The sequence below is a fragment of the Homo sapiens genome, chromosome 2 (genome assembly GCF_000001405.40).
Source record: "Homo sapiens chromosome 2, GRCh38.p14 Primary Assembly".
Taxonomy (NCBI): Eukaryota; Metazoa; Chordata; class Mammalia; order Primates; family Hominidae; genus Homo; species Homo sapiens.
Genome location: NC_000002.12, coordinates 211,643,420 through 211,664,688, shown reverse-complemented (window position 1 = coordinate 211,664,688; position 21,269 = coordinate 211,643,420). Strand labels below are relative to the sequence as shown.

At 33.7% G+C, this 21,269-nt stretch overlaps 1 protein-coding gene across 11 annotated transcripts in view; it reads left to right on the top strand.

The window, feature by feature from the left end:
* Window positions 1-21,269, top strand: part of ERBB4 (erb-b2 receptor tyrosine kinase 4) — a 1,163,086-nt gene that overhangs the window by 874,114 nt on the left and 267,703 nt on the right. For 4 of the 11 annotated variants that reach the window (XM_006712364.4, XM_017003579.3, XM_017003577.3 and 1 more), the window contains 2 exons: window positions 6,695-6,739; window positions 6,861-6,935. In XM_006712364.4, coding sequence (XP_006712427.1) covers window positions 6,695-6,739; window positions 6,861-6,935 — 120 coding nt within the window. The remainder of the gene's footprint in view (window positions 1-6,694; window positions 6,740-6,860; window positions 6,936-21,269) is intronic. The other 7 variants (NM_001042599.2, NM_005235.3, XM_017003581.3 and 4 more) reach the window with 2 other exon arrangements.

Sequence of the window (21,269 nt, the reverse complement as noted above, 5' to 3'; positions counted from 1 at the left end):
GAATACATTGTGCAATGAATAATAATTAGATTACCTTTGATATTGATAACAGTTGAATAACAAAGACACATTACAGAAAGAAGAAAAGCACTGAACTGTAAAAGAAATAATGTCATTCATCTAACAAATTCCAACAAGTATTTCTTAAGAGACAACAAGTCTATTTTAGTAAGGATTTTTCCTTTTCATTCCTCCGGAAGGTGAATAATTTGTAATTGAAAGCAGTGTTACATTTGCCATCCTCCTACTGCCCATAAAGCCTTTTCTCCATTGTGAATGCCTATAGGCATGTGCACATACACATATAAACACACACACACAGACGCATACAGACACACACACACACACACACACACACACATTTGTAGTTGAGAATCAGCTTGGGTACTTTATATCTGGCAGGAAAGTGTGAGATTCCATAAACAGATTTTCTGTCAGATTAAGGGATAGCTGTTGGGGGATACTGAAGAAATTAAGCAAGCGACATCATTTCCTGCCAAGAAAACATCAATTTGCAGATGTTGCTACAATTTCCTGCAGGTCAAGAAATAAGCTTAACTCACTCTGTGAAGTGACAGATCCTCAAAAGGTAAAGTAATATTCTGCCATTCAAATTCAAATTCACCTTGGAAGTGGTAATTGCCAATTCATTGGTTCACATATAAGCACGTATACATTTAGGGTACTGAAATAGTCACATAGACACTTTGCTTCAAGGAAACTAGAGGTAATAAACTGCTCCCCTTGTGAGTTTTTGGCATACTTGAGTTAAGAGTATTTCACAAAAAAAAACAACTGGTTCTGCTGGAGCAGAAGAAAGAGTCAGCAACAGAAAGAGAAAACTTTGCCTGCTAAAATCATCCACAAGAGAATTTTATTGTTTTGCAGCTAAAATTAAACCAGTAAATTATTCAATATAATGTTGATGTCAACAGCTGTTGCCATTCAAAATGAGACCTTTTGCTGTTTTTGCAAATCTAATTACAATGAGGCCATTAGAGAAATGAAAGTGAGATCACAGAGCCATAGTCTGGATGCATGGCTGGTGTGTCTTCCTCTCTGCCCTTTTAAATCATTATTATATAATAATAATAAACATATATAGTGGGGGAAGTAGAAATATGAGGCAATGAAAAGAGATTAGTTTATGGTAGCAACAAAATCTGGATCTCAGTCAAAAGGAAGGATGAAGGTGTAATGGGGAAGAAATCTCACCAGAGCATTTGGGAACTCCAAGTGAACAGAAAAAAGACACCTTTAGCAATTTGCAGCCGCAGAATTAAGTTGAGACAGAATTTGAATATTGTACTCCCTGGCATCTTCCAAGGTAAATGCATTCTCTAATGACTGACTTAATCCTGAAGGATTTTTGTCTCTGTTTTCATTTAGCTTTCTGCCATCCTGTTTTTAAAACACCTTCATATTGTCCAGATTCACTCACTTCATAAAAATGCTGTGGTTCTAGTCCCAGAGTATTCTAGTCCCAGGAATTCCTGAAGGATGTGATTCCTAAATTCCTAAATCCTCATATAAATTCTATTGCAGTTCAACATTATGCTTTGAGATATTTTACTGAAGCAATAAGGTGTTCTGTGCAGTCAGTCCCTTCTTTCCAAATTGAGCATATAGAGATATGATATTTTCCTGGGAAAACCACAGGGGCAGTGAGGATGATGGAGCAAGTAACTATTTTTATTCCTAAACACATGTAATAATCGACCTATCAGTAAGTGTGAGCTCACCAGGCCAGTTCTACTTTGGAAAACACCTTTTCTTTTATATGCCTATATGATGTCAGATAATTCAAGAACCACATTAATGAAAATAGTCTTTCAAACCACATTTTTTAGAATTAAAGTTCTTACTTTGAATACTGTTTAATGATTTTTCTGAAAATAAAGTTACCTGTGTCATACTTTAAAAGCACTTTTACTACTCTAAAAGTACATTAAATATAATGGCTCTAACAAGCTCTCTAGACACTTTTAAAATAGGTCATCTATTTACTCCTTATCAGAAGATTCTCACTAATATCCATGAAAACAACAAGTTTGTCTCTTCTTACCTTGACTAGATAATTTTTATTTTAACAGCCTTTTCTTAGTTTATTCACTCTTCAGCTTTGTATATTGGATATCTGCTCTGCATCACATACAGTGATAGGAAAATTCAGAAATGAACAAGACACAGCTTCTGACCTCAATGAACTCACAGTCCAGTAAATTTATATTATTTAATTTATATCCTCTGTTAGAGACCAGACCCTTCTCCACAGTATTTTGAAATGATAAGCAAGAATTTAAAACTTAGGAATGATGTTCAGATTTGAAATTAGCAAGATAGAATTTTTTTAAAGATTTGTAAACTTAACCAATGTAATTAAATTGTGGGGAGGGCAAGGATGATTTTTTTCCTCACTAATATCACTTGAGTATGTGCTCATTTAATGTCCGTTTAACTTTGGTTTTGTATCAAACCAAACCTGCATTTTAGACTTGGAATGAAATGGTTATTTTATGGAACATCTTTTTAAAAATCTCATTGCATGTTTTTGTTGATATTAGAATAATGATTTTATATTATTAAATGTCACATGTACCTTAATCTTTTTTTTTTTTTTTTTTTTTTTTTTTTTTTTTTTTTTTTTTTTGAGACGGAGTCCCGCTCTGTCGCCCAGGCTGGAGTGCAGTGGCGGGATCTCGGCTCACTGCAAGCTCCGCCTCCCGGGTTCACGCCATTCTCCTGCCTCAGCCTCCCGAGTAGCTGGGACTACAGGCGCCCGCCACTACGCCCGGCTAATTTTTTGTATTTTTAGTAGAGACGGGGTTTCACCGTTTTAGCCGGGATGGTCTCGATCTCCTGACCTCGTGATCCGCCCGCCTCGGCCTCCCAAAGTGCTGGGATTACAGGCGTGAGCCACCGCGCCCGGCCGTACCTTAATCTTTTTATCCATTTTTAAAATATTCTTAAACTGATATAATGAAATAATTTTTATACATCAAGAGAGGGAAAGAAGGGCTGCTTGTGGAAGTTTTGTCTATAATCTTTTAATGGAGAATTTTTAAAAATTTCCTTCATTTTTATTTCAAAATTTAAAGATTTTATCAAAATATCTAAACTATGTTGGTTAAATGAGTACATCAAGGAACTTATAAGTCATTAGTACTAACAAAGGTTAAACACAGTTTAATATTCAGAACTTTAGATATTGTTTTGGAATTTGTTAATTAGACATGTGTTTTATTTTTCTAATTTTCTATAAGTATTCCACTTTGAAACACTTTTTTTTATAATTCTACTATTCTAGATTTTGATTCAGTTATTTATTTGTGATTTTGGCTCTTCAAAAGTTTTGTGTTTCTGTTGTTCTGTGATCTGGCTGAATGGATGCAAATTGCATATACTAATTAGTTGCTTACAGAAAATACAAAGAGTTGAAAAACAATATACATATTTTAGTTTTCAGCGGCTTGTATTTAGAAAGAATGGTGCCACTTCAGTCATACTCTTATTTTTCTTTGTCTTTCATTTTTTTCTTTCATTCTCAGTTTAAAAATAGGTTTGAATCTCAAATATCCTACACAATCCCCTCAACAACTTTTCTTGACCCTACATCCTGCTCCCTCAGTCCCTCCCCGCTCTTTCCCCAGCCTCTATTTTTCTATCTCCAATTTGCTTCTCAACTCACAAAAACCTAAATTCTAGTGACCATGACAATGACAAGTAAAATTATCTTAAGAGTTATTTTACCAGACTTCTCTGCCTTTCACACTGATGATCACCGCCTCTTTCTTGAAGTTCTTTTCTGATTTGACTTCCATGAGACTACAGTTAATTGGTTTTACTCAATTATATTTTCCCATGCTTCTGGCACAAAGAACTCATCTTATGTCATATACTGTTGGGGTTCCTTGGGTTTCCATCTTCAGCCTCTGCTTTTCTTACTTTTTATATCTTCTTTAGCCATCTATTCACTTACATGGTTTCAACTTTCTCCTACATGCTATTTCAAGATTGATCATTATACTCATGCCTTCTTTCCCCGTTAACCACTCATCTTTCCAACTGCTGATAAACATTTCTACCTAGATGTAGGACAGCCATACTAAATTCTAGATACACAAAACTGAAATTATCAACTCCTCATCCCCTAACACATACAGGAAGAAACATATTCATCTTCTTGGATTCTCTCAAGGATAGTACCACTATTAGCAAAGCTAGAAATGTAAGTCTTCTTTAACTCCTTTGATCATTTCACTTTCATGAATCAACTGCTCTTTTTTATTCCCTCTATCTTTTGAGGTATTTCTTGAATCTGTTCTTCTGCCTCCAACACAGTTACCATTTCCCTAGTTTGGTCCATCATCTCTTACGTGGACTAAAATAGTCTTTGTGCCAAATGAGTCGGCCTGGCTGCCAGCTGACTAGTATCCACAGAGCTAGGAGATTTACTGAAAATACTAATCTAGCAACTTCACTACTTCTTTAAAGCCCTACAGTGATTTTTTATTGATTGTTACTAAGCAAATATTTCTCAAAATCTGGCTCCCACCTAATGTTCTAACTTCTTTTTTCCCCTCTTCCTATTGCCTCATGTTTTGCTCTCCAACTACTAAGAATTATTTGTAGTTGTTTTGTATATACAATACATTTCTTCAGGTCTGTGCTTTTGCTCCTGCAGAAGCCACCGCCACCCCAACCCCAGTTTGCAGAACTCTAAATTTCAGCTTCTTACCTCCCCTAAGAGGGTTATCATGCCCTTCTAGGTTGGCTCTAGGTGTCTGCCCTCCACACTACCATGAACCACTTTTTCATGTTTCTTATTACATTTATCACATTATTCAATACACATCTGTTTATGCATCTGTCTCCTTCATTAAATTCATAGCTCATTGAGAACAGAAAAATGTCTAATTCATCTTTTTTTCTCCCTCTAGCTCCTAGAATACTAGGAACACTTAGTAGACATGTAACACAGTGCTTTTTTTAATGAATGAGTATCTTTCATATTCACACTTTTCCCTCAAGTTAAATTTTAGTTTTGAATTTTTTTTAATCTTTCAAGGGTTGTTATAAAGATGGATTGCAAACTAGCCATAGCTTTTTAGATTCTCACTTGGAACTGATAAGCAGACTTTTAATTTTACAAAATGATAATATGGCATAAAAATAATTTTCAAGAAGATAGAGCAGGAACTTAGGAAAAAACAAGTTATTTGGAATATAATGAAAAGAAAACTATATAAGACAAATTGGAAGCTTTTTTAGTAGTTAATTTTCCATTTTTAGAAATGATTTTGACTATAGATTATATATAATACTAATTTAATGCTATGTACTCTAGTTTTTTTCCTTTTTAGTTGCTTTTTAAAAGACTTTTCATACAGGTGTATTCTCTCTATTTCTATAGATTAAAATTTGTCTGCGCTACTCCAAACAAAAACAAAAATCAATTTTTAAGCTAGCAGGAATGTTATAACAAATGTTTATGAGACAGAGAGATAAGTGACTTAATTGGTATTATAGGTATATTATATTAGTTCACCAATGTTTAGAGTTATTTAAATATATAATGGATAGACTGGCCTTATACATTGGCACCTTTTTACATCATTGTATGATGATCCTATCTTAAGCTGCTTTTTCAAATTTGAAAATTAAAAGTTTGGAAATATATGTAATCTTTATTACCAGCGAAATAAGGCACTTCTATAAATCCTAACTATAAAAAGGATCTTGATAATGTTCTGGAGCTGTATGTCTTTGATGGGAGAAAAGGAAAAGATAAAGAGTTCGAGTATATTGGAAGATGAAAGAAATAATAATTCTATATTGGTTCAAAATGAAATTCTAGGGACTGCACATTAGAATTCTGTGTACTTATGTAATTCCATTTAAATGTTAGTCTCACTGTATTCTTTACTTAACTGGGTCTCAAAGGTAATTCATTTCCTTACATAGTATATATTTATCTGTTATTGTTTGCGTTCATTATTATGGTAGTTTAAAAACTTGTTTTTGTTTACCTGTTATGGCATTGCTATTTTAAAAGACAGTGTCAAGAGAAACTGCAGTATGGTGAAACCAGTTAATTTTCTTTTAAAATAAATTCATGTTTAAGATAAGTATCTTTTAAAGACAGGCACAACCAAGAATCAGAATAATGTGATTATGTAAAGTATCCATGAGAATAGCATTAAAGCATGTTGACTCATTTTCTGCCAAAATCAACCTTTAATGAGCATTGAGCATCAGGTTATTATATGATATTGGATTGCTCATGGTTTTCTTATTGTTTTTTTTTTATTTAAACTTAAGGCCTTTAAGAAGAAACCATACACAAGAAAACAATTATAGTCATTGAAATATCAACATATTTGTTGAGACATGTAATCATGTATGATGCATATCAGTTCAAAGTATTAGAAGTGAGCTGTGCGTTTGGAAGTTATTCACAGAACCAGTGTAAAATTTCCTTTTACTTTGGACATTTCTTTGCATCCCACTTAGTTGATAATGGCAATTCATTTCTGTGTATTCATCAAGCAAAAATCTTCCTGGCTTGAAATTCATTGTGTTCCAAAATAGTCTAATAGTTATAAGAATTCGAGACAATCAATATTTATTTTACTGATTTTTTAAATGACTAATTTTTTCCCCTTGTATTTTTTTAAATTTGCATTTTCTGCAGGTGCATAGGCTCAAGTATTGAAGACTGCATCGGCCTGATGGATAGGTACTTGGTGTGCTTGCTTCCCATGTTCTTCCTCCAAGGCTCCATGTGTGAGCACTGGTGCATGTGTGTGCATGTCACTGTGGATGGAGAATGATGTTTTCTGTTCTGTAATTGCCTGCAGGTGTAACGGTCCCACTAGTCATGACTGCATTTACTACCCATGGACGGGCCATTCCACTTTACCACAACATGCTAGGTAACATCTACCATGTTTCCATTTTGTCGCTCAAATCCTTTCCTAGTTATCATGAACAAAAAGTACTAACCAGTTGGGTTAAATTTATAATATATTGTAACTCATAATATATCAAATTGGAAAGTTTTGAAAGAGGCATAAAACACTTTCCTTCTCAAGCCAACTTTCTTACTTCTTTTTCCTTCATTCATTGTGATACAAGAGTCCCAGTTAGTAACACCATCGATTTCTTTTTTTTTTTTTTGGAGACCGAGTCTCACTCTGTTGCCCAGGCTGGAGTGCAATGGCATGATCTTGGCTCACTGCAACCTCCACCTCCTGGGTTCAAGTGATTCTCCTGCCTCAGCCTCCCGAGTAGCTGGGATTACAAGTGCCCACCACCATGCCTGGCTAATTTTTGTATTTTTAGTAGAGATGGGTTTTCACCATGTTGGCCAGGCTGGTCTCAAACTCCTGACCTCAGGCAATCTGCCTGCCTCGGCCTCCCAAAGTACTGGGATTACAAGTGTGAGCCACTGTGCCCGGCCTCGATTTTTAATTTGTGTAGTCTAAACAGGATTTTGAGTTATTAATATATACCTTTAATAGAATATTTTTTGCTCTTAATTCAATAGATGATTACAAAAATATTTATAAGTAAGGAATTTGCAGAAGTTTATTATTTAATTTAATTCAATTTCTGATTTTATATTATTTTTAAGTGGTTGGCATATTCTCTAGGTATAAGAATTAACATAAAGGCAATATAGAAAATATTTTGTGCAGGTAAAAGTATAACTTGGAATTTAAAAACAAAACGTAAGACTCATTCCCACACAAAAACCTATGTACTAATGTTTGTAGTGGCTTTTTCATAATCACCCAAAATTGGAAACTACTCAAATGTTCTTCAGTTGTGGCATATCTATATATTGTAACACTACTGAGCAATAGAATAAAAAGGAACAAACTGCTGATACACCCAACACCATGGATGGATCTCAAATATATTACACCAAGTGAAAGAAACCAGACTTAAAAAAAATACATACTGCATGATTCCATTCACATGGCATTCTGGAAAAGGTGAAACCATCAGGACAGAAATGTTGCCAAGAGCTGGAGATCGGAGGATAAGGTTGACTGGAAAAGGGAAGGAGATAATTTGAGGAGATAATGGAACTATTCTTCTATCTTGATCATGGCGATGGTTGTACAAAAGCATGTGCTTATCAAAAATTATAGAACTGTATGTTTTACTGTATATAAATTATACTTCAATCAACCTGACTTTTAAAATATCTCATAAAATATTTCCTATATAACATTACCATCTTATGTAGAGATATTGTTAGCTTTATTTATGAAATAATAAATCTCATCCTTTTAGGAGAGAGAAGGTAGTACTAAAGTTAACAAAATGGGAATTTTGGATGAAGAATACTTGCTTTTAATGTAAACTCTTGTATTGAAGCGTATATAGTGTGAAAGTACACAAAACATAATTGTAAAGCTCAGTGAATTTCCAAAAATGAAACATTTGTGTTGCCATTTACCAGATCAAGAAACAAGATGGCAACAGAGCCCTGGAAGCTACCTTGTACCTCATTCCAAGGGTAGCCACTGTCCTAAATGGTAATACCATAGGTCAGATTGCCTGGTTTTTCACTTTATATAAATTTAGTCATACAGTTTGTATTCTATGCATCTGGCTTCTTTTGTGAAATATTATATTTATGAGATTCAAATCTGTGTCACTGAATTTAGTCATAATTTCTTCATTCATATGTTATTGCCTTTACATGTTTTTAAAATAAATATGTCATCTTAATATATCATTTTTAATGAATAGAAAAATTAAATTCTAAAAAGAAAGCGAAGCATGTGCTAGAGTAAATTGATTTCTACAACAGTGGCACTGTGACACTTGGGCACAATCAAGACTAGTTAGTCTAGTTATTTCGAGCAAGGTAAAATTATGAAAAAATTAGAGAGAGGGAGAGAGTGCCGAAGGCCTAAACTATAGTTTTATAAGCCAGGGTTCATCTTAGATTGTTCCTATATTTATGAAAGAAATTTTCCTTCTTGAGACCCTGGCAGAGCAACTGCATTATCAGCTAGAACAGTTTTCACATTTGCTTTGATGATTTTCTTATAATTATGTAGTTATTCCAGTGGACTAGTTAGGGGTAATATAGTACAGTGGTTAAGTGTTCCGTCTTTAGAATCAGATTTTCTGAGTTCAGAGCCAGGCTCTACCATTTTTAGATGTGTGACTGTGGGTAAGTTCCTTAAATTATCTGAGCCTCACTTTCTTCATGCATAAAATGGGAATACTAATATAGTTCATAAATTGTAAGATTGAGTGTGTCCTTAGAACAGTGCCTGGCTTAGAAATCACTCAATAAGTGTTATTATTTATTATCTTTCTGTACATCAAAAATTCTCAAACCTTGAGGGTGAGAGAACGTGCTTCCCGGGGGAAGGAGAGAGGTCTTTAAAGCCACACCAGGAGCTTTGATCTGTACCTAAAGCCCTTTTGATGGGCCCCTTGAAGGAAGAGAGAGCATTTCTCTCTCTTCACCTTGAGAATCTCAATTACAATGTTGGCCACTGATACTAATTATGGTAGGTCATTGGCTGATATGTAGAGGCAGAGAAAGGTTAAAACCACACTGATAGATCACTTATAGTCCTTAATGCTTGTAATTGAGGTTATTTAACTCAAAATCATAGTGTATCTTGTTATAGATTTAATATTTTCAAAATTTAAACAAAAGCATGATTGGAATTCTCAATCCTTTTGCCTGCTTCGGTTTCCAGGACATATTCACTCTGAGATTCCAGTAATCTCAGACTAAAACACCTAATTCAGATTAGCCTTATCATAAATAGGTGACCATGGCCAGTCACTGTTTGTAGATAATACAGAAAGTACAGCCCATCATTCTTAAGAAGAATCACCTGTAGCCCACAATATAGGTAAAAAGCAGGGGTTCTTGAATGTCTAGGTTCAAATATTGGCTCCATGATGTTTTTTATCTGTAAAATGGGAATTATAATGGTCATTTTGAAACTGAGAATTCTTATAACCCTTAAGATTGGTGTGAAGATTAAATAATGCACAATAGCCAGCATACAGCTTATGTTTATTGGTGGTACTTACTGCTCCAGTTGAAATGTTGGCATAATAATCACTTTGAAAACCTCACGAAGTTAGTAATTTACATATCAACAGGGCGTTAATCCAGTAGGTTAGTGACTACAGGATTGATATATCAAAATTACTCAGGTTTTAAGCATTTCAATGTTATACCAAACTTCTAAGTACAATAATTTAAAATAATTCATAGCAATAGTTAATTGTTCCTTTTAGGAAACTCTAGATATCTTTCATTAACGCCTATTTAGAACTTAAATATAATGCAGTGTGACTCCATTCTTCACTTGCATTGACTTGTCAGAATCAATTGACTTGTGAGGGGATGTTTATGAGAAAGTTTGACATTTACATGAAGGATTTAGCCTGGATGCTTTGCAAAAGTGTGTATGATCATGGAACATTTTGATGCAGATTGGGTAAGATGTGAAAGTAACAAGTGTCTGCTTTTTCAGGTCTTCAGTATTGCAACAAATGCTTACCTCTCTGAGATGAGGTGGGTGTGTATTTCACTGAAAGCAGAGCGCTAATTTAATAATATTTTTAAATGTCATCATAGTTTTTCAAAGCATCTGTCAATTGATTGAAGTGAATCTTACATAATAGGAGGACAAAAACTACAAATGAAAATAGTTGTTTTGGGCAGGGCGCGGTGGCTCATACCTGTAATCCCAGCACTTTGGGAGGCCGAGGCGGGCAGATCACAAGGTCAGGCGAACGAGACAAGCCTGGCTAACACGGTGAAACCCCATCTCTACTAAAAATACAAAAAATTAGCCGGGCGTGGTGGAACATGCCTGTAGTCCCAGCTACTCAAGAGGCTGAGGCAGGAGAATCTCTTGAACCTGGGAGGCAGAGGTTACAGTGAGCCGAGGTCGTGTCACTACACTCCAGCCTGGGGGATAGAGCAAGACACTGTCCCCCTCAAACCCCCCCAAAAAAGAAAATAATTGTTTTGAGTTTCTTAAACCATATTTTAACTGGCGGATTATCCAAATGCCTAGTTTATTTTTAGTCACAGAAAATTACATTGAGCATGTCAATGTGGCCATTTCAAAATATTTAGTGTTCATAGTCCTTCCACCCCATTATATTGTATTCTGTTTCCCAAACCAGCGGGGCGGGCGTGGGGGGGGGCGGGTGCGGGGGGCGGGGGGGAAGATTTAAATGAAAGCAGGTGAAATGTTTCCAGTCTTGATCAACTTTCATTTTCTAAGCAATGTTATTCTTTCCCAAGCCTACAATGTATTAGTTGGTTTCCACACTTCATTTACATTATAGGCTGCTGCTGGAATTTCTTTCAGGAAGATTGGATAAGATAGAATAGAATTTCTTTTTTTACCTTTAGTCTCCTAGAATATGCTGCTTATAATGAAAATAATACTTGATATTTTAGAACCTCTCCCTACTTACCTTATTTGAATTAAGTGCCTTAAAAATAGTATTTGCCTTTGGTGGTTTTTCTTTTCCATCAAGAATCCTATAAAAAATATGTTTAGCAAGACTTTTTCATTCTTTTCTGTATATTATTTATTTTAGCTTGCATACATGCTATTTTCATATAGATTCTGATAGAATAGAATATTTGATTCTAATCCATTTTAGATTCTTTGTCAAATATATATCCAAAGATTTTTTTTTGTTTGTTTGTTTATTTCTTTTAATCTCAGTCTCCTATTCTATTAGGGCTGAAATTTGTTAATCTCAATAAGTCAAGTTTCCATTGGCAAAACATTTCTTTGTGTTAGTTAGCAGTCCATGTGTTAACTGACTAATAACTCTTCAAATTTGTGAAATCATTAAAACAGCTAGATATCAAGCATTTTTATCTAGTTACTTGCTCCAATTCAATTATTCTAGGTGCTTCACAATATAAAGTAAAGTAATTTGACTCAGTTTAACTATCTAAATCTCCTTTGGGCAGCTATTTGAAACATTTTATATTCTTGTCACATTTTAATGCCTGTGTCATACTTTTACTTTATGGTATAGTGGTTATTAAGTAACAGGTCACATAACAGTTTAATCCTTTAGCAGTGTGACCCATGTGTGATATATGAGAGAGATGATATGATATTCTTGGCACCACTTTCACAATTGGCACATTTTTTTTTCCTTGTTTGTTTTGCCCCCAAGGAACTTAAGTTCATAACTCATGTCCAAATCAAACAGTCAAAATCATCCATAGATCGTTACCTTAGATGAGTGGCAGTTGTATTATGATCCTTAAGTCCAATAAATAAAAGCACACAGCCCTTTATTATAAGTCTATCCTCAGTCCACTAAGTTCTTTATATTAAATTTACTTTGGAATTAAAGAGAGTTTGAAGAGGTGAAGGAGAGTGTGTGAATCTCTTCTTTTCCACATGACTTTTGTCCCAACTTCCCAGTAGCCATAAAATACCAAGGTTATCACAGAATTATAGGGGAAGAGCAAAACGTCTCAGCTCAGTTGTTAATTACTGTTCATACAGTTAAAGTGGTTACTTTAACAGAAGTATTTAGCGTCACAAAGTTGCAAAAGTGGCTTTTACCTTGATAGCAAAATGCTCAGACATTGTTACCAAAGCTTCTAGAGACCCTAAAATGTTAATATTATACTCAAACTCACTGAGTGACTTACAGTATAATAAAATAGAACTTGAAGTATAATAAACAAACAAAACAAAACACAGTTCCACAGGTAAAATTACAGGCATGGCATAGCTGGGTTTTTTCCTTATCTTCTCACCAGGCTGAAATCAAGGTGCTGTCTGACCTGTGTTCTCATCTAGAGCTTGGAGTCCACTACCAAGTTCATTCAGGTTGTTGGCAGAACCAAGTTCCTTGAAGTTGTAGAACTGAGGCTCCCAAGTTATTGCTGACTCTTAGCCAGCCATGTGTATTCCTTGTCATGAACCAGCCCTTCCCACCCCACCCCCACCATCTTCAAAACCCAGCAACAGTGTTTCAGATCCGTCTTATTCTTTGAATCTCCTAGATTTTGTCTCTCTGACCAATAGACCCAGATATGAAGGCTCATGGAATTAAGTCAGGCCCTTGCTGATTGTCTTTCTATCTTCAGGTCAAGAAATTTGGGACCTTAATTACATCTGCAAAATCCTTTCACATCAGCACCTGGGTTAGAATTTAAATAAGTGGGAAAGGTATGTGTATATTTCAGTGGCTGTAATCCTGGGAGCAATTTTTGATTTCTGTCTAGCACATCTGCCTACCCTGGGTACTTGAGCATATAATATTTCCGACGGTGCCATTCTTATTTTTTCTTGTCCTGAAGGAAACTTGATTATTATTCTGTGTGTCATGCAACTTTGCCATATAAAGGCACATCTATGTATGAGAGATCAATTGGTTAAACTATCTTCAAATAATGTATTATCATATTCTTGTCCTCAAAGGCCCTAGAGCAAGCAATAAGGTATTATCTTGGAACTAAAACCAGGGTTCTCTTTGTACATTTATATACTGTAAGGTAAGGTCTCAGTGTCCATGTTGGTTCCAGGTGCTCATGCTGCATTATTGTGCAGTACCTCACAAACAGAATCCTGATTAAAGTACTCCCTGGTTAATATAAAATTTGTGGCCTTTTCATTAAGTCATCAGACCTGTAAGTCTCTCTCAAGATTGCTCTAGACCTGCACTGTCCAATATGGTAACCACTAGTCACGTATGGCCATTAAGCACTTTCAGTGCAGTTAAAGCAAATTGAGATTCTATGTAATTGTAAAAAGTACACTGGATTGTGAAGACTAGTATGAAAAAGGGAATATAAAATATCTTATTAATAATGTGTTATATCAGTGACACGTTGAAATGTTAATAATATGGGTATATTGGGTAAATAAATACAATTAATTTCATCTTCTTAAATATGTCTGCTAGAATACTTTCAATCACTTATTTAGCTTGTATTATAGATCTATTGGACTGCACTGCTCCAGCCCAGTCATCATGAAACTTTGATTTAATATTCAATTTTGGTAATAGTTTTACACAAAATAAGAATAGTAGAGGGAATGATATTGCATATTCACAGAAGGGTGTTTATTTCATCAGCTTCAATGGGTTACAGATGGGATGAGTTAGACAGATTCGAGGAAAAACATCTGTTTGCCTGAACCCATTGCATATACCTGTATATTTATATGTGCACACAGATCTTATAAACTTCTATAGGAGAAGACTAAATTATGATAATTTGAGTCTGCATTTAGAATTCCCAGTATGACCTACTTTTAAAATTGAAAATTACTCAAAGGGTTGGAATTATATTTCATAGATCTTAAATTTGTTTTATAGCCCATATTTTAATTAAAACATTGTTTCAGTTTTTATAAATGAACAATACTTAACCAAAAAGATTTCTTAAGTAGAGATCAAAGTTTCTGTTTTTATGCCTGCCATATATTTAGAAAAGAGTTGAATTTATTTCACCATGTAATTTAGGCATATATTGTATTAGATCCTAAGTAAGTACCTTTTTTCATATTTTCTATCTAACTAGGGGAATATAATTAACTGAGACCCCCTTCTGTGATGTGGTTACATAAAATGATGTGTAGATATTAATTCAAATTGCTCTCTTCATGCCTTTTTCTTATTACCTCAGCACATTCCCTAATTAATCATTTTTTCATAAACATACAATTATTCTTCTGTACTATGTATATAGGCAGGAGCTAATTAGCAGAGAGTGCTTTGATTTATCAACAAAATTCCATTACAGTGATTTCCTTCTCTGCCATCATCTACCCTTAAACCCAAAGAGGTGTAATTTCATTGTAATTTTGCAGTAACTCAGTACTAAAGAATGAATGATAAGGAAAGGGAACCTCACCTCTAATAAACTCTGAATGCTTGTAGCCATGTAAGTTTTATAGCATTCTGTTCTTCTGCTCAGAGTAAAGTGTTCCATATGCTTGAGTCATTTATGGAATAATTATAGTTACTTTTAGTAGAGTAAAAATAAAATAACAACAAAAACCTTTTACCATAAAAAATTTACTTGTTGAGGGAAAAACACCATGTTTTTTCCTGAACAGAGCAAGATAAATTTACAAAGCAACTCCTTTGTTCAATCTCTGACCCCGAAATCCGAGAGTTCAAATCCCAGAGAGAATAGCTATATTGTTCTACACACCAGGAAAGAAAGGACCAAAGGGAAAACCAAAACATCAGTTTTTTATTTCTTTCTCAGAGTACTGATGTCTTTTCCAAAATCTTATATTTAGCTAGGAGCTTGTTTTTGCCACCTTTAGAAAATCCTAATATGTATCTATATCAGGTATGCTACACTGTGACATTGAATATTTATGACAAGCATATAAAAACAGTAGTCACTATTGCCATTCATAAATGATGAAACAGACTTAGAGTCATTCAGCAATTTACAAAAAAATCGCTCAATGTCTTTCTCTTAGTTTTAATTTTTAGCTATTAAGCCTACTTCTGTGTAGGATTTTATAATGCAGTTCTCACACAGAGTATTTTATCCTGGACCAATAAATTCCATGATCTAAGCGTGTACTCCTATAATTGTAGATAATGTAACTTTTTAAATACATCAGATAAACTAATCTAAGACATATATGAACAAACATAGGCACAGTTTTAAAAAATATTTTCTTAAGTGAGAGTTATTTTAAAATTCTGCAGAGATTTGAAAAACAAAGTTGTGGTTTCGTATGAGAACAACTTTCACCTGTTCCTAATTGCATTAATGCTACCATCCCCAGCCTCCCTCATCAAAAGTACAAGTAAGAATTCAAATTTCATGGACACTAAAATAAAATAAAAGACAATATAGTGCTGGACTTTGGCAGCCACTTCCTTGTTGTCACTAGATCATACTGTAGGATTTATGGGATTGGGAAAAATTGATTGGAAGTAGTAACGATTTTAGGTGATAGGTTATGAATCTTAGATTGTGTATCATCTGGCTCTGGTTGTTTCGGTAAAAAGTGATTTCTCCCAAGAAAAATTCTTCCCACTGTTGATACAGTCAAACATACCATATTTTATTTGTTTTTAACAGGAGAAAACAGAACAAAACACAAACCCTCCTCCATATATGTTATTTCACAATATGCAGCCAGTAAATATTCATTGTATTTACTACATGTCAAATGTTGGCTAAGATACTGAGGAAAGAATAGAGAGAAAAGTTAACGTAATTCCTAATATCATAAAATCCATTGTGTAGGGAAAGAGAAAATATTATTTAATATTATTTACATGCATTTACATTAATATTATTTACATGCATGATTATTTATTATGAGGGAAATTATAAATGAGTATGTGATATGCAGATGGTAAGAAAAGAAAAATACAACCAATGACACCTGGGTTTTTGTCCTGAGTAACTGGCTAAGAATGATGTCATAAACTGAGATGGAGAAGACTCAAAAGAAAATGGAACAAATTTTATGAGGAAAATAAAAAATTCTGTTAAGGTATAACAAATTGGAGACGTTTATTTGATATTTGAGTGAAGATTTTGCATAGGCAAATAAATATAATACTGTGGAGCTCAAGGGAGGAGTCTGGGTCATCAAGCATATTTAAATTCATTACATTAAATGAGATTCCATATGTAGAAAGTGTAGATGGAAAACTGCACAAGCCTTAGAATACTCCATAATTTGTATGAGCAGAACAGAAGAGAAAGGTATAGTACGGCAAAGGAAATTGAGACAGACTGAATGGAGGTAGGAGGAAATCAGGTAAGGTGAAGCCCTGGACGCCAAGTAAAGAAAATGTTCTAGAAGGGAGTGAGTCCATATGCTGATTGGGAAGCAAGTATTGACCTTCTAACTTAATCGTTTGTTGGTAATGTAAATATTTAGTATTATCAATGTGAATGGCTGGCTAAAACTATTGGAATAAGTAATCAGGGAATTGGGGAGCCAGAAATTCGAGTGAATGGAGAGAAGTGTTAAGATTCAAAAAATATTTAGAACTTAAAATGTAATACCATACTTAGTGATTAACTGGATATGAAGGAATTGGGATAAGAAACTGTTAATCATTTTTTTCTAGGCTTCTGGCTTGCAAAGTTGGATGGATGGGGGTAACATTAACTGAGATTTCTCACAGTAGAAGGGTGCTAAATTAGTCATCCTGTGTTTAGTTTCGGATGTGTTGAATTTGCAGTGACTTTGACATATTCAGTGATGCTAAATGGGAAATTTAATATACAGATATGGAAGTTTCTCCAAGTGTTGATATCTTTTGAGAAATGTAGATGAGAGAGAAGAGAGAGAGACTGGGAAATAGTTGGACTGGGAATAATATCAAGAGAAAGATATTTTGAGAATGGGTGAAATTTTGAGTCTGTTTTGGAAGATTTTATAGAGTGTGAGAGGTTGGAGATACAGGAGAGAGAAGAGATTATTAATTATAACAGTTTCCTGAAAAAAAAGAAGAGTTAAGAGGAAAAGAACATATGAAAGGATTAGTCTTAGAGAAGTCTCCCTCCTTCATTATTTTATTGAGAGAAAATAATTACAGGATAAAGATACAGATAAATGTATAACTTTGGTAAGAAAAGGTTGAGTTTATGTAAAATTCTAAATTCTCTTTGAGATTGTAGATGAAATCATTTTGCCCAAAGGGAGGAGACGTACAGGTATGAGGAGACAGATGGTCTGGAATATTAAATCCAAATATAAACTGGGCTAATTTTTGCATTTAAAATATTCTGACATTAATCCACAAATCATCAATAATTTGCAATGTGTTGCTTTACATGTTTCTAACTTGAAGGTCACCCTATTTTGCTTTTGCATGGAAAATAGCAGGTTGTGGTTTGCTCTCAGTGACTCTAGACTCATTAAATTAGAAGACTGTTAAATACATAATCAGAATCTAACAGCATCCTGTATGTGTTCTGAGACATTAACAAATTTCAATACCTGTTGCGTTAATTGCAAAATGCTGATATATAACAATTACTCCAAATCACATCATTACTACAAACATCAGCAGTTATGCAGCTGTGCAAGTACAGATTACTAGTAAATCAGTACATCATGAAATATTTTTCCTATTTCAGTTTTTATATGCTTTCAAATAAGAAATTATGATGGAATTCCCTTACAAATAAAATTTCTTTGGCTTCTGAATGTACTTATGTAACTAAATTTATCTTCAAGCAATGGTTCTGGTCTTAGTGATTTGTCCCATATGCCTTTCTTTTAAATCCAAAGCAAGTAAATGTAGAATTCATCATCCTGATAGTTAAAGCTCACCAGCTCATCATATTTTAGGTATTTTTCTTTTTTCCCTCTTTCTGTTTTTTAAGATTAATTCTTTTTTAAAATATATTTTTAATAAAATTTAAAATTACAAAAGTAATACATGCTTAGAGTATTAAATAGAAATGTATATGTTATGTCTATGTATTAGTCCTTCCACACATTTCTCTACATACTAATACATATATACGATAATAAGGGTTTTTCTTTACAGATTAGGGAGCATACTCTACACATTATTCAATAACTTACTTTACTCACTTAATAGTACTTTATGGACAGCCTTCCAGATCAACAGACATTACCCCTTTTTTATGATTGCCTAGTATTCCCTAGTATCAGTTTACCACCAACTCCCTATTGAAAGATAGGCTATTCCTACGTTTTTGCCTTTTACAAATTATAAAATAAATAACATATATATGTGTGTGTATCTGGCATTAAAAAAGTATGTTTAGCTAGGGATTAATTAAAATACATGAAAATATTCAAGTTTCTTATTCATATATGTGAATTGCTATTCAAAAAGTCAAATAGAAAACACATTAAATATTACAGAAGTTACAATGTGAGTTTAAAAACATTTGAATTATAGTGTCATTATAAAATACATAAATTTGTAACAGATCATTATCTTTCATACCTTTCTAAAATTAGACAGGTTCCATCAAAGTACGGCTGCAAGTTTTTCACCAAAAGTTGCCAAAGACTGAATAACTTAGAAATTTCTTCTAATGAGTTTATAGTTTCATTTATGATGCCATTAATCATGTTATACAGAGATCTTGATGGATAAAGAAGTTTAATTAACTTTTCCAAAGTCTGTTGATTTATTAATTGGTTTCAAGTAATCCTAGATGGTCAGCTATAGATATATGTATCTGTAATATTTCAACATCATTTATTTTTATGGAGGAATAAGAATATATATATATAAACAATTCACAGGATGGCTTTGATCCTATATAGTTTTGAAATTATAAATAATATTTATAGAATAACTTAGTCATAGCAATGCCTAATCCTTTTATAAAACACTAAGAATAGATTGTGAGGGCTTCTCCCTCTCTGTCTTTCTCTCTCTCTGTCTCTGTCTCTCTTTTTCTCTTTAAGTTACTGCAGATGTCCTTACTTGATAATAAAGGATAACTGGCATGAATTTTATGAGAAAGTACCCATTGCATAGCATCTTAAATTTACACTTTTGTTCTCTAGAGTCGTTTGTTTTTGACTGTTTGCAAATAGCTAAATACTAACATACTTACTTAGTGATCCCAATAAATACTCAAGAAGAGATGTTAGTGTTTTCCAGCAACTAACTCAGTGCCAGAGGGTGAATTTAGGACCCAATAACTGCTATCTCTTACTCTCCTCCCCCGTGGCTCTAAGAAAAACTTAGATTTTGCATAAACTCAATTGGCATGATTGTAAGTAAAGATAAGTCATTTGCTTAGATAATTTTCTAAATGCAAAAATAAAGATATGCAATCTGAAAGCTTTAAAGACTGAAAAGAAGAAAGTCTATAGATATACTTCATTTAGCAAATTTAAAAGGGAAGCGTTATGTTTATTCCAAATTACTTTTAGATTATTTTCTTATGACCATTTACAAAACAAAGAGATTTTAAAAGATCTTCTGCTGGATGTCCATAAACAATACATAGCATTACATATGGCTGATTGTTAATAGTATACACAATTTTAATAATAAAAAGTAAAGAACAGATTGGAAAATTAATATTCTAGCTTGGAGGAGAATGTTTCATGTAGATGTGGGTTTTTTCCTTAGTAGTAATGATTTATTTTGCATGTAAATGAAATGGTTTCAGGCAAAGTATAAAGTTGTCTTGGCATTATATTATTTCAATGTTGTTTGAAATGCTTAGGTTCGATTTTTTTTTTCTCTTACATTATCTGGAGGCTGTGAATCTGTATTCAGAGCATCTGCCGAATCATAACATCGCCTAGGCAATAGCTTTTGAAAAAAATGGGTTTCCCCATAATTAGAAATGTGTTCTAATTAGGGGTTGGGTGTTTATATAAGTTTAGAAAGGAGTTATATTACTAAACATTGTTATTAAATGCTTTCAAATGTGTTTTTGTGAATTCAGTCACAATAAACCTCCTCTTAGAATATAAAAACTAATCAATTCTAAGTTAAAAACATAATTTAAAATGGGGTGCAATGACCAAAAGCCTCTGTGAAAGGAGGGTTTGTTTGTCTTTTCGCCAAGTCCCCTGTGGAGGCAGAAACAGTCTCACCCTCTCATTTTTTCCTTGGGTTACTTCCAATCTACTATGGATCCAGAAATTAGAAAACTTGGATGTTCTTGTTTTGCCAAATTAAATGCTAATGAAGACCTGTGTTTCTTCATGTTCTCTTTATTGATCTTTCAGTACATATTTGCTTGAGGTGTGTAAGTTCAGGAAACATTTACTACTTTTGAATTTTATTACTGCTTGGAAATGGATGACACATAATATCCTGTCTATTACAGCACATATAATTCCACAATTCAGAGACAGCATCCTTGAGGAAGCTCTACAAGCTTCTACTTAGTGTTACTTACAAATGTGTGAGGCACTTCCTCCCACCCCTGTCCCCCTCCAATGTAAGCATTCAGAAAAGTCTGATACACGTAAAGCCTAGTCAATGACCAGAAGAGTAGGATGATGAAGCAGATGTAATAGAAGCACCAGAGATAGTAAGTGTTAACAAGAAAGGAAAGGGCCATTGACTTCATTTATGTTTTTAAAAATGCAAATATCTTGAGATGATGCATTTGACAGTTAAAATGCAAGAAAAAAGGAAAAGTGAAAAATTTGGACATAGTCACTTTTCATACGAACTTTTCAGTTAGTATCTTCCTTGCCTACAAGTAAAAAAAGTAATGGCTTCACCCAATAGTTTTAGGTGTTATTCTATTTCATAACAGT